This window comes from Homo sapiens, chromosome 4, assembly GCF_000001405.40.
Source record: "Homo sapiens chromosome 4, GRCh38.p14 Primary Assembly".
NCBI classification, from domain to species: domain Eukaryota; kingdom Metazoa; phylum Chordata; class Mammalia; order Primates; family Hominidae; genus Homo; species Homo sapiens.
The window spans coordinates 22,342,226-22,360,431 of NC_000004.12; the positions used below are offsets into that span (position 1 = coordinate 22,342,226).

The 18,206-nt window shown below is 40.1% G+C and overlaps 1 non-coding gene across 1 annotated transcript; it reads left to right on the forward strand.

Moving 5' to 3' along the window:
• Nucleotides 1-7,224: 7,224 nt before the first annotated feature.
• Nucleotides 7,225-7,329, forward strand: LOC124900906 (small nucleolar RNA U13). Its single transcript, XR_007058548.1, has one exon. It is a non-coding gene; the product is annotated as a small nucleolar RNA U13 (small nucleolar RNA).
• The last annotated feature ends 10,877 nt before the right edge of the window (nucleotides 7,330-18,206 follow it).

Below are 18,206 nucleotides of genomic sequence, written 5' to 3' on the forward strand. Positions count from 1 at the left end.
GTGCAGCAAACCACCATGGCACGTGTATACCTATGTAACAAACCTGCACGTTCTGCACATGTACCCCAGAACCTAAAGTACAATAATAAAAAAAGCCCAAATCCAAATTCTAGTTAATCACTGGGCTTTGTCTCTGCCTTATCTTGTAAATGTGGGTGAGTCTGAAAGTTTGTGGAACTTTCCTTTAAAAAAAATAATAAATTTACCTGACTCTGATTTTTCTTGAATTTTTCTACTTCTCAGAATTCCTCAAAGAATGTCCACAGCCATTTGACAGTTTCATTCACAATTTGTCTTAGCACCCTAGGTTGCAAGTCACTGCAGCCAAAAGGTTATAATTATAACAGTGAGTTGCTGCCAGCTGCTTTCTTGTAATCTTTTCACCCATCTGAATGTGTCACTCTTATCCAAGTTCATGCCATGTTAGAGCCTATGTTGTCTATGCAGACTTCACCTGCAATTAGTCCAATGCATGAAAGTTCTAACTCTAAAATTCCCAGCCTCTAACTATTGGATAACTCTGTTTTACATCAAGGCATGCATTCATTAATTTATTTAGACTCTTACCAAATACTGACTAACCAGGGACACTCAGACACTTACTAAAGGGTTAACACTTATCAAAGGTCTTAAATATGTGTTCATTCTTTGTACATATGAAGCCTTTGATCCTCACAACAGCCTTATGAGGTATATTTCATTATTATTGTGTCCACTTTTAGATTATTAAAATGATACTCCAAAAGGTTAAATACTTTTAATTATCACAAGATGAACAAGGCATGATCCCAACACTCCAATTCACAATCCAATCATCTCTGAGCCTATGAAGTCTAAGTCATCAGTCCAAACAACCTTAACTGATACACTAATGAAGAGCTTCCTGAAATTGGGGTTAACCAAAAGCAGATCAGATGGTGCAAATTGTTAGGGAAATCAGGTAGCAAAGACAGAATATAGAGGAAGGGAATGAGAAATGTATCCATGAACTAAGGGCGTTATCCTTTACAATATTAGAGCTTGAATTATGTCCTCCAAAAAAAAACAAAATCTTAACCCCTGTTGCCTGAAGATAAGACCCTGTTTGGAAATGTAAAAGGGTCTTTGCAGATGTAATCCAGATAAGATGAGGTCATAATAGATTAGGGTGGTTCCCAATCTGATATGACTGGTGTCCTTATGAAAAGAGAAAGCAGAGACATAGGAAGGAGAATACTGTGTGAAGATGGAGATGCACAGCGGGAGGATAACCATGGGAAGATAGAGACGGAGACTGTGGTGATACTGTCACAGCCAAGGGATGCCTCGGGCAACAAGAAGTTGAAGGAGGCAAGGAAAGATCCTGTCCTCAAGACTTTAGAGGGAGTATGGCCTTGATGACACCTTGATTTCAGACACCTAGCTTCGGGAAAAATGAGAGAATAAATTTCTGTTGCTTTAAGCCATCAAGTTTGTGGTACTTTGTTATGTCAGCCGTATGAAACTAATATAGCATTCAAGGCCAATTTAAATGCCACATCCCTGGTGAATATATTACTGGACACTTATCAACTTAGAATGAATCACTCTCTCTGTGGTAGACCCATAGGACTTGATTCAAACTTGATTTGACATGTCCATCATATAGTATGCACATTTATTCACTAGCTTGAAACTGCCTTTAACTCTTGGGCCTACATAGCACATTGCCTTATATATTAGCAGTAGCTCAATGAACATTTTTTGATTGGAATTATTGACCTGAATTATCTCAGAGAAGAAAAGGAAGAATGTATAGACTAAACAGTTGTAGCCAAATTTTTTTTAAATAGCATAAGTTTAGTGTTCAATAGCTCAGAACTTAAGTTGCTATTATATTAATTTTAAATTTCTCTTTATTATAAAATGTAATCACTTGAGTTTAGAGACGAAGCCAAAAATGAAAAATTTCCATGCACCACCAACTTGAAACTATAGTGGAAGTGGATTGGCATTAGCTTTTCTAGTACTGAAGAATTTTAGGAAATGTGAGGATTCCACCAATCCAGGCATCATTCTATTAAGAATCGTTTTTCTCTTCTTCATAAAATGGGAAAGAAAACATTGTTATTTTAAGCTAATTATTTTGTATATAATTTCTGGTTGATTAAGGCTTACCACTAGTACTAGAATAGCAAATCTTTGGTAAGGAAAGCTATAATTGAAACAAAAAAGTTAACTCTGTAAACTACAACAGTATCTAATAGCAACTTTTCACACCTCATAGAGCAGCCCTCTGCCTTCAAGGTAACGTTTCTATCCCTCTCCTTCTGCCACCTGAATGTGCCCCGCAGGGGGCAGGGAATAATTTCAATGTGATCCTGTGAAAGATAATTTGATGCATTCCAAAGCCATATAGAAGTAAACTTTGCATTATTTTTTATTTGCTTCATAAAGCATCCCACCTTTTCCTCTAAAATTGAATTCACCATTTATACTACTCTTATTGAAATTGCCATTTAGGGAAATTATAATTAAGAATCTCCTTTCTCCCTCATCAAAATGTTAACTCCCGAAGGATAAGAACCGTATTTTATAACTCTGTATCCCATGTAGGATCATTTCTGGCACATTTTGAGTATTAATTGAGTACTTATTCCATTAATACTGGCTAAATTTAATTTAGGATACTTGTGTCATGGCCCTATTCCATTAACACATATAAACTAAACATTTACAAGCATAGTCCAATTAGAGAGAAATCCTGACTCAAAAATTATATACATTACAATCACAAACTGAGTTTACATATCACAGATTTCTTTACAAGTTTATAACCTCTCCAGATGGGTTATAGAATTGAGCAAAGAGACTCCACACACCTCTCTACTATAATTTCCCAGTTTATTTAGCCAAAAACACAAGAATAAAAGGAAGAAATGTTCTAACCTGAAGAATGACAAATTTACCCACATTGACTTTCACTAGTTGCTAATGTGGCACTGAGTTACAGCACAGGCTACATGGCTGAAAAAGAGAATGAAACCATGGCTCAAACAAGACAGAAGTTCACAATTCTCTCATGTTACAGCCCAGAGTTGACAGGTGGTCCGCAGTAGGTAGGAAGCCATACTCCCCCAAAACCATACTGGAGAATGGACACTGGAAGACAATTAGAAATCTCTAATTAGCAATCACTAATCTGTAACTAATTACCAATTAGTTTCTTTCAGTGTTACTCTCTACCCAGGAAGGAAAGAGTTGAGAAAATAGGCAAATATTTGCTAACTTCCTAAGTCTTACTGTCAGAATATACACCACGATTCTTACAAAACTTATGCTAACAATTTGTTATTCTTTCGATTTAAGTAAGCTTTACAAATATTGAGGTGTCTTGTTTCTTGAACCAAGTTTTCAACAAGCACAGTATCATGTTCCTCTAAGGAGAAAAAAGGCCCAAATGTCTCAGAGTAATACCTCTGCCCACCTCTTCATTGTTCAAGGAAGCCATATCCCCACATTCACTCTTCTTCACAGTTACTTGTATTAATTAATTTTGCTGCATAAAGAAAATCCCAAAACTTAATAGCTTATTATTTTTTATGGCTCTCTGAGTTTGCTGAGGACTTTCTCTGTTCTGTGCCAGCACTGCTGGAGCTAGGCGGTCTACAATGGACTCATTCATAGATCTCATGGTTGGCAGGCTAGTTAGTATGATAAGGACACCCACTGAGACAGCTGCCTCTGATCCACATGATCTCATATTTCATATGCTTCTCTCCATAGTGGTCCAGGGTTCCAAAGAGAAGCAAGAGAGAGTAAACTCCATGAACAAGTAACTTTCAAACCTCTGTTTGTATCAACTTTGCTAATGACCCATTGGCAAAAGAAAGTCACATGATTATTCTTAAATTCAAGAGGTAGAGAAGCAGACCCCAACTTTTGAGGGGAAGGGCTTAAAATATTATGACTATTTTGGCAAACAGTGACTGTCCACCTCCTAGCCACAATCACTTCCAATAATCCCAAATGGAAAATATGCAGACCCACTTCCAAGGCCCCAAGAAATCTTGTCCAATTATAATGTCAGGCTCAACGCCCATAATCTCATAATCTGTATCAAGCCCAGATGCAGATGGGGCTACTTAGCCACAGATCAACAAGAGCAGATCTTCTTGATCTGAAAAGATGAGTTATCTATCTCCCTTCAAAAAACATACACTGGTGAGACAAAAACAGGTTAACCACAATGCATACTCCCATTCAAAGAAAGGAAAGGCAGGAGGCAAATAGTAGTCATCAGCTGATATGGCTTGGATCTGTGCCCCCACCAGACCGCATGTTAAATTGTAATCCCCATTGTTGGAGATGGGGCCTGGTGGAAGGTGATTGAATCACCTGGGGCTGGTTTCTCATGAATGGTTTAACACCATCTCCTTCATGCCATTATCATGTTCGTGAATTAATTCTCATGAGATTTGGTTGGTAAATAGTGTGCGACACCTCCCCCATCCCCCTTTTTTGCGCCTGCTCTGGCCATGCAACATACCTGCTTCTCCTTCACCTTCTGCCATGATTGTAAGTTTCCCGAGGGCTCCCCAGAAGCCAAGCAGATGCCAGCGTCATGACTGCTGTACAGCCTGCAGAACATGAGCCAATTAAAATGCTTTTCTTTATAAAATACATAGTCTCAGGTATTTCTTTACAGTAATGCAAGAATGGTCTAATATACCAGACTATATCAATCGTGAAATCCAGGCAAGTATATGTCATCAGGGAGCAGGAAATATTCCTTGATTGTGATGATCAGGACTCAGTTCCTCTCCCTGGGAATGGTTACCCTCTGCTCCACCCTCAGAGCTCATCTGCTCCCTCTGCAGCATTCTTTCTTTTCAATAAAAAATGTCCCACATTCACAGCAGACTGCTCCTCAGCCTTCCTCCTGATCATAGAAAGTTGGGATCCCAAAGGTCTTTTTTCATTTCACTGTTTCTGTCCCTTTTGGTTCAAGCTGGCAGTGCTTGTATTGGCATACTTCTCTCTAAAATTATATGAGTGTCCTGTGAAACTTATTTGGGCTTACTCTATACTCCAAAAGCCACATCTGCAATTATCTCAGACAGGCCTGTGTATTGCACCACATATCAGGTAATTGACCAGTGCTAAATCTGACCCTTTGTTTTGTTTCTGGTTCTGATTCTGATGGTTTCCGGTTGATTGCGCACATATCAGTGGCAGCAGCGTAAAAAGTGGGTTTTAATATGGTCATTTTATTAAGAAATTTCTGATGAGCTTGAGGTGTCAGGAATGGGCAGGATAGGAAATATAGAATCTGGCATACTTATTAGCCTTTTTGTTTTTGTGTTTATGTGTTTTATTCGCATCTGTAGTAATATGGGACACTTCACCTCTAAAGATTCTTCTTTGTTTATCCGATAACTCTGACGTTTAAGTATTTACTTATTAGGAACCCAATATTGTCAAAATCTGTGAAAATGGAATTTCCATAATGAAAATGAAAAGAAACCAAATGCTTAGCTAGCTTTCTTTGATTTCTCTAAATGAATGAATAATTCCAAAGTAATGTCCCAAGACTCTTTAGGGCTAAAGAGAGGAGAGAGAAGAAATTTACATCATTTTGCATTGGACAAATTGAATCAGAAAAAAAGGTTTTCTAAGAGCCATGTAAGCCAAGAATTAATAGTTCCTCAAAATATAATCAGACTCAGTCTTTAGAAAATGATAAAAACCAATGACATTATTATAATATGTATGGACAATGAAAAAATGTTCTGCCAAATTCAGAAGAGAGTAAGAAATTATACAGATCCTCAACAACGATGCTTGACTGATCAAATGATGCTTAATTACATGGTTTTATGTTGCTAATTGAGAAACATTCTTATTAGCTACTGAAGCCTCTATTTCAACCATCAGTTCTCTAGATCTTTTGCAATCATTTCCTTTAATTTGTAAGAGTGATAAAATTTCTATCTTATTAATAGAAAATATATTTGAGCAAACAGTTTTATATGCCTTGGTTACCTCTGGGGGAATTAATAAACCATGTTATAAGTTATCTTAAAATCTAATGGAGTGGAGGACATTACTCCCAGTTGTAAAGGAGTAACTAAGATAGACTTGTCCACCCATCATAAAGAACTAGAAAAATGGACTACATATGTGAAACAACTGTTTTTGCTAATTGGAACATATATTTCAAAGAACTATGATCCCTAAGTTAAGATAAATAATCAAAATGGACAATACAATCACTCTGGCTTTCTTCCTGCTGGTACTTTACAATCCATGCTGGAAGAAAGAACCCGGGCAGAGCATAGGAGAGTCACTAAGTTTGTGAAGGGAAGATTGGAATTCAGGGACGCTCATGTGGTTGGAATCTGTAGGAAAGAACCAGAGATGAGGGGACTAGGCAAGGAAAGAGCTCCAGGAATCTGATAGGGATCTGCTCCAAACTATAACTTAATGCTAAGCTGTGCTTGCATGGGGTAAAATTTCACAATGTCAGGAAAGGACGATTAGAAACTATAAATGAGACAATTCTCAGAGCTCACAAAGGAATGAGAGACTTCTGAGTTTCAACAAACTATTGTTGGAGAGGCTGCATTGCCCACCTGCGACATTCCCTACCAAGAGTAGAGACTTGAGCGGTATCATTTCTAAATGATAAAGTAGCCTTGCAGTAAAGGCTACACTAGACATGCCCTTTAAAACAGGCCTCTAAAATATCAAGCAAATCTGCAAGTAATTTAACTCCCTTCCAGAAAAAATGCCAGTGCTCCTTAAGAAAACTCAACAACATAAAAGTCAACACTCAATAACAAGAATCAAAACATGTGGTATTAAGTAAACTAATAATAATAATAATAGACTGAAAAGCTGGAAAATGGAACCCAGTATCCAGGAAGAAAAAAGTCATTAAAAAATGTTTTAGGCTGGGCGCTGTGGCTCACACCAGTAATCCCAGCACTTTGGGAGGCTGAGGCAGGTGGATCCTCTGAGGTCAGGAGTTTGAGACCAGCCTGACCAACATGGTGAAACCCTGTCTCTACCAAAAATACAAAAATTAGCCAGATGTGGGGGTGTATGCCTATAGTCCCAGCTACTTGGGAGGTTGAGGCAAGAGAATCACTTGAACCCGGGAGGCAGAGGTTGCAGTGTGAGCCATGATTGCACCACTACACTCCAGCCTGGGTGACAGAGTGAGGTTGTCTGAATAAAAAGTTTTAAAACCTAGAAATGATGATCCTCTGGTAGTTCATGAGCATGATGATTGGGTGTTTCACGCACATGTGTGAGATGTGCCGTACTTGAAACTTGTTACCATGTCTGCACAATGGGCATCTGACCTGAAAAAAAAAACTAGAAATGAATTTTATGATGAAATTATCAAACAAGGATTTAAAAGAGCTATTGTTAATATGATGAATATTTAATTTTAAATAAAAACATACACATAATACAAAATACAGATAAGAAAATCAAGTCTTAAAGATGAAAAATACAATACTTAAGATAAAAATTATCCTGGATTGACTTAGTATAAATCAGATACTGCAGAAGATCAGTAAACTTGAAGATAGAGTAATAGAAACTACACAAACTAAGGCACAGAAAGAAAAATAGATGAAAGAAAAATACACAGAGGCCAGGCATAATGGCTCTTGCCTATAACCCTAACACTTTGGGAGGCTGAGCCAGGCAGACTGCTTGAGCCCAGGAGTTTGAGACTAGCCTTAGCAACATGGTGAAACCCCATCTCTATTATCCAGGTGAGGTGGCATGTGCCTATACTCAGCTACACAGGAGGCTGAGGTGGGAGGATCTCTTGAGCTCAGGTGGCAGAGGTTGCAGTGAACCAAGATGTCTCCACTGCACTCCAGCCTGGGTGACAAAGTGAGACTCTGTCTCAAAAAACAAAAGAAACAAACAGACAAAAAAAACTTCAGTGGTTTTTGGACAACATTAGGCTTCACTTACATGAAAAAGAAAAATATTCAAAGGAATAAGGTTGTATATTTTATAAATTTGATGAAAACAACATACAAATCCCCCCGCCAAAAAAAACCACGAAGAAAAACACACCAAACACATTATAACGAAATTACTGAAGACCAAGAACAAAAAGAAAATTTTTAAAGTAATCAGAGAGGAAAAAAGAGACATCATATATAGTAGAAAAATGTAGAGAATTATTAGTGTTCTCATCAGAAAAATGCAAGCCATAAGACAATGTAGCAAAAGCATTTAAGTCCTGGGAAAAAAGTTAACCTAGAAATTTGTATTAAATAAAAATGTCCTTCAAAACTAAAGACAAAATACTTTTTCAAAGAAATCAATAAAAGAATTAAATTCTAAGGGTTTTTGCTGGAACTATAAAAAATATTAAAAGGTTTTCAGGTTGGAGAAGAATACTAGATAGAAACCTGGATCTACATAAAGGAATACAAAATGGTGAAAATGGTTAATATATGGGTAAAATTTGAAACTTTTTCTTGTTTTTAAATTTGTTTAAAAGATATTTTGTTTTGTAAGGAAAAAATAACAGCAATGAACTGTGTGGTTTATAATATAGAGAGAAGTAAAGTATATCTAGAAATAGAACCAAATATAGAAGTGGGTAATGGAATAGAATATTGTTGCAAGGTTCCTCCATTGTCAATGAAGTAGTGTTATGTCATCAGAATGCCATAAGAAATTAGAGGGGGTAGCTGAGATGGCCAACTAAAAGCAGCTAGTGTGCACTGCTGTCATGGAGAGGAATGGAACCTCCTCAACACAGGGGAACCTCCCCAGTCCAGGGAAGTGGTGAGTAAATATGCAACCCCAGGAACCCATGCTTCTCCCACAGATCTTTGCAACCCTCAGGTGAGTAGATACCCTCATGAACCCATTCCACCAGGCCTTCAGTCTGACACACAGACCTACATGGAATCCCAGCAGATCATGGAATCTCTGCTCAGTCACATGCAGAGACCTGGGAGCCTTAGATACCTGGGCTTTCCGGGCTTCCTCGCAAAGGAGCTGAAACTCTGGCAAAGCAGGAGGTCAGGGCTCCATACACACCATTAGAAAAGGGGCAGAATCCAGTGGGCTGAGAAGCAATAGTCTATGGGCCCTGCTTCCATGGCACCTCACAGGATAAGACCCACTGGCTTGGAACTCCATTCAGCCACTGGTAGCAGTGTTACACTTCCCTGAAAAAGAGCTCCCAGCAGCAAGGCCAGCCACTACCTTTGCTGTTTGGCTGACTTCACCGTTTTAGCCTTCAGGCTTTGGAGAGTCTGAGGTGACTGGGGCCTGAAGTGGGCCCCCAGCACAGCACAGTGGCTATATGCAAACATGGCCTGCTTTTTTTTAAGCAAGCCTCCAGCCCTGTTCCTCTTCACTGGGCAGGACCTTCCAACTGGGGTCTCCAGCTACCCTCATCAGTGTTCTCCAGCAGACAGAGTTTTGAAACCTCCCTGGGACAGAGCTCCCAGAGGGAGGGGCAGGACACCATCTTTGCTGTTTCATAGTCTTTACTGTTGATAACTCCAGGTACTGGAAAATCCAAGGTGACTAGAGACTGGAGTAGACCCCCAGCATACTACAGTAGCTCCTCGGAAAAGTGACCAGACTGTTACATAGGTGCTTGTCCCCATAGCTCCTCACCGGGCAGGTCCTCCAAGCCTAGGCCTCCGACCACCCTCTGCCAGGCTATTGAGCCAGTAGCAGCTATGCAACAACCTGGAGAGAGCTGCTGAGGGCAACTGAAAGCCTCTCTGCCCTCTGCAGTGGAACTGCATTTACTACCCTAGGACTCATTAAGACGCAAAAACCCTAAGTGCCTTATCCATACCTTCAACAAGCTGCAGTTGACCCAAGGAGAGGAAACCAGTCCATCTCCCACAGGTTCTGCACACCCCCACCCCAGCTTGCTCATAACCAGACAAGGAACCCTTGGCTTGTGCCCACACACAGATCCCCCATCCTGGGATGATTGCACTGAACAGTTGTTGACCTGCACCTTTCTGGGGTGGAGCCCTCAGGAGACAAACAAAAGACCCTTGGCCACAAGGACTACTAAGGTCCCTTCCTCTGTTGCCTCCAAGTAGGGGGAGAAACATAAACCCTGAGATGGCCTTAGTGCTGCAGTGGGCAGTGCAGGAGTGACAAACTGAAATCTACAGCCAGCATTCAATGGGGAGAGCAGCCCAAACTTTCAGAGCATTGAGAGGGAACCCAGTTGCAACTGTGAGGAAACACAGGGGAGCCACATAACCAAACAAGAGTCTACCAAGTGACCAATAAGCCAAAGTACCATCTACTGGATCACACCCCAAAGCTTCAACACCAAAATACCTTGCTAACATACCCCCTTGTGAGACCAAAGACAAGAAGTCTGCTTCAAATAAAGACTCTGCACAAAGCACGGTACTGAGAAAACATCCAGTAAAGAAGTTCACTGACTGTACTCAACCAATGCAAGAACTCTGATAACTCAAATGGCCAGAGTGTCATATGTCCTCCAAACAACCTTACTGGTTCTCCAACAAGAGTTCTTGACCAGGCTTAGCTAGCTGCAATGACAGAAACAGAATTTGGAATATGAATAGAAACAAAGATCATTGAGGTTCACAAGTATGGCAAAACTGAAATCAAGAAAACTAAGAATCACAATAAACACTACCACAGCTGGAAGATGAAACAGCCAGTATGAAAAGGAACCTAATGAATCTGGCAAAGCTGAAAAACACAATACAAGAATTTCACAATGCAATCATAAGTACTAACAGTAGAATAGACCAAGGTGAGGAAAAAAATCTCAGAACTTAAAGCCTGGCTCTCTGAAATAAGAAGTAAAACAAAAATAAATAAAAAATAATTGAGAGGATTGACTAAAACCTCCAAGAATTATGGGACTATGTAAAGAGGCCAAATCTATGAGTCACTGACATCCCTGGAAGGGATAGGAAAAAAGCAAAAAACTTGAACAACATATTTCAATATATTGTCCATGAACATATTCCCAACTTTGTCAGAGAGGCCAATAATCAAATTAAGAAAATACAGAGAACTCCTGCAAGGTTCTACACAAGAAGATAATCTTGAAGACACATAATCATCAGATTTTCTAAGGTTGAAATGAAAGAAAAAGAGCAGGTCCCCTATAAAGGGAACCCCATCAGGCTAGCAGTGGACCTCTCAGCTGAAACTCTACAAGCCAGAGGAGATTGGAGAACTACATTTCACATTCTTAAAGGAAAAAACTTCAGCCAAGAATTTCATATCCAGCAAAACTAAGTTTCATAAGCAAACGAGAAATAAGAACTGTTTCAGATAAGCAAATGTTGAGGGAGTTTATTACCACCAAATCTGCCTTACAAGAGATCTTGAAAGGAGGATTAAATATAGAAAGAAAAATTATGATCAGCTAATACAAAATTACACTTAAATGCAAAGACCAGTGACACTGTAGAGCAACCACACAAACAAGCCAGCACAGTAATTAGCTAACAAGACAATGACAGGATTAAATCCACACATATCAATACTAACCTTAAATGTAAGTGGGCTAAGTACCCCATGAAAAAGGCACAGAGTGGCAGGTTGGAGTAAAAAAAAACATGCAAGACTCAATGTTATGCTGTCTTCAAGAAACTCATGACACAAATATGTTCAAAATAAAGGAATGGAGGAAAATCTACCAAGCAAATGAAAAACAGAAAAAAGCAGGGGTTACAATCCTAATTTCTAACAAAACAGACTTTAAACCAACAAATATCAAAAAAGACAAAGAAGGGCATTACATAATGATAAAGAGTTCAATTCGACAAGACATAACTATCTTAAATATATATGCATCCAACATGGAAGCACACAGATTCATAAAGCAAATTCTTAGAGTCTTGCAAAGAGACATAGACTCCCACAAAATAATAATGGGACGCTTCAACTGCCACTGGCAGTATTAGACAGATCATCAAGGCATAAAATTAACAATACCAGTGATCATTAGAGAAATGCAAATCAAAACCACAATGAGACACCATCTTACACCAATGAATAATAACAAATGCTGGTGAGGTTGTGGAGAAAAGGGAACACTTATACACTGTTGATGGGAGTATAAATCATTCAACCATTGCAGAAAGCAGTTTGGCAATTCCTCAAATTGCTAAAGGAGAACTACCATTTGACCAAGCAATCCCATCACTGGGTACATACCCAGAGGAATATAAATCATTCTACCATAAAAACACATGCACTCAAATGTTCATTGCAGCACTATTCACAATAGCAAAGACATGAAATCAACCTAAATGCCCAACAATGACAGATCAGATAAAGCAACTGTGGTGCATATACACCATGGAATACTATGCAGTCATAAAAAAAAAACAAGATCTTGTCTTTTGTGCAAACATGGATGGAGCTGGAGGCTATCATCTTTAACAAGCTAACACAGGAACAGAAAACCATATACCACATGTTCTCACAAGTGGGAGCTAAATGATGAGAACTTGTGAACACAAAGAAGAGAACAACAGACACTGGGGTTTACTTGAGAGTAGAGGGTGGTTGAAAGGAGAGAAGCAGAAAAAATAACTAATGGGTACTAGGCTTAATACCTGGGTGATGAAATAGTCTGTACGGCAAACCCCTGTGACATGAGTTTACCTATATAACAAATACTCTCAAACCTAAAATAAAAGTTAAAAAAAAGAAAGAAATTAGATATGTATTTTGCAAACCCTGAGATATCCACTAGAAAAAAGAAAAAAGATCAAACAGACCAATAGTGAAGATAAAAAGAAATATTAAAAATACCCTATCAAAAAAAGAGCCAGGAATAATGGTAAGAAGGAACAAACTAGAAATGGGACAACAGAAAACAAACAGTAAGATTTTAACCCAGCAATATTAATAATATTAAATTATAAACTACTCCAACAAAAGGCAGTGATTTTCAGACTGTATTTTTTATAAAGCAAGATTCAACTATATGTGATATATTTGAAGAATTCATTTTAAATACACAAAGATGGGTTAAAATAAAAAGATGGAAAAAGGGATATATGAAAAATTTAATAATAAGAAAACTGGGGCCGGGTGCAGTGGCTCACACCTGTAATCCCAGCTCTTTAGGAGGCCGAGGCGGGCAGATCACAAGGTCAAGAGATTGAGACCATCCTGGCCAACATTGTGAAACCGCGTCTCTACTAAAAATATAAAAATTAGCCAGACATGGTGGCATGTGCCTATAGTCTCAGCTACTTAGGAGGCTGAGGCAGAAGAATCGCTTGAATCCGGGAGACAGACACTGCAGTGAGCCGAGATCCTGCCACTGCACTCCAGCCTGGGTGACAGACAGAACTCTGTCAAAAAAAAAAAAAAAGAAAAGAAAACTGGAAAGGCTATATTAATAGAAGTCAAATAGACTTTGATACAAGAAATATTACCAATAATGAAGTCAAATATTTTTAAATAATAAAATTATTAATTCATAACAGACCCAACAGTCCTAAGTTTGCATGCATGTAGTTGCAAGATTTCAAATACATTAATAAGGAAAACAACATAACAGAAAGGAGAAGTAGATAGAAAATTTTGATTAAAGCTTTCTCTTAGCAACTGAGAGAAAAAGTAGACAGAAACCAACAAGGGTACAGACATCTTGAACAACACTGAAAATCTAACCCAATTTACCTTTACAGAACACCACATCCAGCAACAGTATAATGCGCATTCTCTACCATGCTTATAAAATATTCAAGGTAGATCACATGCTCAGCATAAAATAAGTTTCAAATTTGACAGGATTAAGGGCATACAAAGTATGTTCTCTAATGCAAAAGAAACTAAATTAGAATTTAATAACAATAGTCATATCTAGAAAATCTCCTAAGACACTTCTAGGCAATGCAAGGGTCAGACAAGAAATGACAAGGAAAATTAGAAAATATTTCAAAATGGCTGACAATTTTTTTAAATTTTAGGGATGAAGCTAACACAGAACTTTGAAGACAATGTATAGCTCTAAATGCTTATCCTAGGTAAAAAGAAAGACCTAATACCAATGAACAAAGTTTCCACCTTAAGAATAGAACGAGGAGGGGGACAAGATGGCTGACTGGATGCAGCCAAAAAGTTCTGCTCCCACCCAGAGGGATCAGATTATTAAGTAAACCACCATAATTTGGGCAGATCTTCAGAAAGAAAATGCCAAAAGTGGGTGGAGAGGCAAGACTAAAGCCAAGGCTGAAGAGGGAGGTCGCGGGGAACCCTGCACCGGATACCTTAACCCAGGGAATGGTTCCTGACTTTGTCGACTGGGAAAGGGGTGAGTGAGGGAATTGAGGAATGGCTCTCTCTCAGAATGGACCTCTGGGATCCTAGCTATAGGGGACCTCATGTCCCCATGGATGCATGAACTGGCAGGGGATGTCCTCGGGGAGCAAGCAAAGACTGCCAGGCCTTCAGACAGCACAAAGTATAGGAGCTTTTGTGTGCTGGGCAGTTCTAGGGAATGTGGCCATAGACACTCATCCCCCAGGGCTCCCCACACCCCTCCAGGAGGCACGGGCCCCAGCTGACCTTCCAGCCACGAAAGAGTGGGCAGCTTCCCCATGGGACTGAAGTATGTCTGCTCTACAGGCCCTCCTGCTCGTTGGCCCCTCCCAGGGTCCATACCAAGCTGTGCTGCATAAGCTGGTGCACAGTGCAGCCCCTGCAGCCCAGTATTGCTGCACCTGAGCACTTTCCTGGCAACCCAGGAATACATCAGATCCAGAATCCCAACCCGAGCTGCAGGACATCCCAGTGCCCCAGGGCTGCAACATGCAGCTCAGGAGTATGGAGCTGAGATCTGTGGCCGGCCCTCAAGCAGAGAAGCAGCCCCCACCATCAGAGCAGTGAGAGGGGTGAGAAGCATGTGTTCCTGGGCGGGGGCAGTAGTGGTGCATGCCATCCTCTGCAGGGCCAGTCCAGAAAGATGTGGAATATATCCCTGCCAGCCTCTGCCTGAGGGGATACTGCAGCCTGGAACACCTAAGAAAAGAAATGCAGGTGCAGCACCATTGATCCTTGGGGACTTCCCCAAAGCCCAGAGAGGACCTGGTGAGGAGGCCATTTGTCTCCTCTGCCTACCACAGAGCAGGACTGAAAACAAGAGGAAGTACAAAAACGACATGGCTGGGTATTAACCTAGCTACCAGCCATTGCTCTTAAGCACCATCTACTGGCTAACAGCCTAAACTATAATACCAAAAATTATGCCTATGAAACCAAGCTCACGAATTCACCCACCCAGGTGGCTGGCAAGATGGCCGAATAGAAACAGCTCCAATCTGCAGCTCCCAGCAAGATCAATGCAGAAGGTGGGAGATTTCTGCATTTCCAACTGAGGTACCGGGCTCATCTCATTGGGACTGGTTAGACAGTGGGTGCAGCCCACAGGGGGCAAGCCGAAGCAGGGTGAGGGCTTCCCTCACTTGGGAAGTGCAAGGGGTCAAGGAACTCCCTCCCCTAGCTGAGGGAAGCCGTGAAGGACTGTGCTAGGAGGAACAGTGCATTCCAGCCCAGATACTATGCTTTCATCATAGTGTTCGCAACCCACAGACCAGGAGATTCCCTCAGGTGCGTATGCCACCAGGGCCCTGGGTTTCAAGCACAAAACTGGGAAGCCATTTGGGCAGACACTGAGCTAGCAGTTTTCCCCTAACAGTGCAAACAAAGCTGCCCGGAAGTTCGAACTGGGCAGAGCTCACCGCAGCTCGGCAAAGCCGCTTTAGCCAACTGCCTCTCTAGATTCCTCCTCTCTGGGCAGGGCATCTCTGAAAGAAAGGCATTAGCCCCAGTCAAGAGCTTATAGATAAAACTCCCATCTCCCTAGGACAGAGTACCTGGGGGAAGGGGCAGCTGTGGGCACAGCTTCAGCTGACTTAAACGTTCCTGCCTGCTGACTCTGAATAGAGCAGCAGATCTCCCAACACAACTCTGGAGCTCTGCTAAAGGATAGACTGCCTCCTCAAGTGGGTCCCTGACCCCCATGCCTCCTGACTGGGAGACACTTCCCAGCAGGGGTCAACAGACACCTCATATAGGAGAGCTCCGGCTGGCATCTGGCGGGTGCCCCTCTGGGAGGAAGCTTCCAGAGGAAGGAACAGGCAGCAATCCTTGCTGTTCTGCAGCCTCCACTGGTGATACCCAGGTGAAAAGGGGCTGGAGTGGACCTCCAGCAAACTCTAGCAGACCTGCAGAAGAGAGGTCTATTAGAAGGAAAATTAACAAACAGAAAGGAATAGCATCAACATCAACAAAAAGGACGTCTGCACAAAAACCTCATCTGAAAGTCACCAAAATCAAAGACCAAAGGTAGATAAATCCACGAAGATGAGGAAAAACCAGCGCAAAAAGGCTGAAAATTCCAAAAACCAGAATGCCTCTTCTCCAAAGGATCACAACTCCTCGCCAGGAAGGAAACAAAACTGGATGGAGAATGAGTTTGACAAATTGACAAAAGTAGGCTTCAGAAGGTGGGCAATAACAAATTCCTCCAAGCTAAAGGAGCATGTTATAACCCAATGCAAGAGAACTAAGAACTTTGAAAAAATGTTAGAAGAATTGCTATCTAGAGTAACCAGTTTAGAGAAGAACATAAATGACCTGATGGAACTGAAAAACACAGCACAAGAGCTTCGTGAAGCATACACAAAGTATCAGTAGCTGAATCGAACAACCAGAAAAAAACATATATATATCAGAGATTGAAGATCAACTTAATGAAATAAAGTGTGAAGAAAAGATTAGAGAAAAAAGAATGAAAAGGAATGAAGAAAGCATCCAAGAAATATGGGACTCTGTGAAAAGACCAAACCTGTGTTTGATTGGTATACCAGAAAGTGACAGGGAGAATGGAACCAAGTTGGAAAACACTCTTCAGGATATTATCCAGGAGAACTTCCCCAATCTAGCAAGACAGGCCAACATTCAAATTCAGAAAATACAGACAACACCACAAAGATACTCCTTGAGAAGAGCAAAAACTAAAGAGTTTCTACACAGTGAAAGAAACCACCTACGGAGGAAGTAGACAACCTACAAATTATGAGAAAACATTCACAAACTATGCGTCTGACAAAGCTCTATCCAGAATCTGTAAGGAACTTAAATCAACAAGCAAAACAAATAACCCCATTAAAAAATGGGCAAATAACATGAACAGACACTTCTCAAAAGAAGAGATATACAAGCAGCCAACAAACATATGAAAAATGCTCATCAACACTAATCAGAGAAATGCGAATCAAAACCACTATCAGATACCTTCTCATACCAGCCAGAATGGCTGTTATTAAAAAAAAAATCTCAAAAAATAACAGATGCTGAGGCTGATGAGAAAAGAGAATGCTTATACACTGTTGGTGAAAATGCAAATGAGTTCAGCCACTGTGGAAAGCAGTTTGGAGATTTCTCAAAGAATTTAAAACAGAGCTGCCATTTGACCTAGCAAACTCATTACTGGGAATATACCCAAAAGAATTTAGATCATTATACCAAAAAGACACATGCATTCATATGTTCATTGCCATGCTATTCACTATAGAAAAAAACATGGAATAGACCCTAGGTGCCCATCAATGGTGGATTGTATTAAGAAAATGTGGAACATATACACCATGAATACTACACAGCCATAAAAAAGAATGAAATCATGTCCATTGCAGCAACATGGATGGAGCTGGAGAGCATAATCCTAAAGGAATTAATGCAGGAACAGGAAACCAAATGAATATTCTCGCTTATTGGGAGCTAAACATTGATTTTCCAAGGACATAACCATGAGAGCAATAGACACTATAGATTACTAGACTAGAGAGGGAGGGAGGATGGGTGTGAGTTGAAAAACTACCTATTTGGTATTATGTTCACTATCTGGGTGTAATATATGCATGTAACAATCCTTCACATGTACTTCCTGTATCAAAAATCAAGGCTGAAATTTTTTAAAAATCTATCATACATATAAATACACACACACATTAAAAAAAGAATAGAATGAAATGGCTTCAACTTGATAAAGAGCATCTAAAAAGAACAATTTAAAACTGTCATTATTTGTAGGCAACATGATCATGTACACAGAAAAGAATGTACAAGAAATTTATGATAATAGTTAAGTAAATTTGCAGGGCAATCAATATTTATGTAAATTTATTGTTTTCCTGTATTTTATCCTGCTG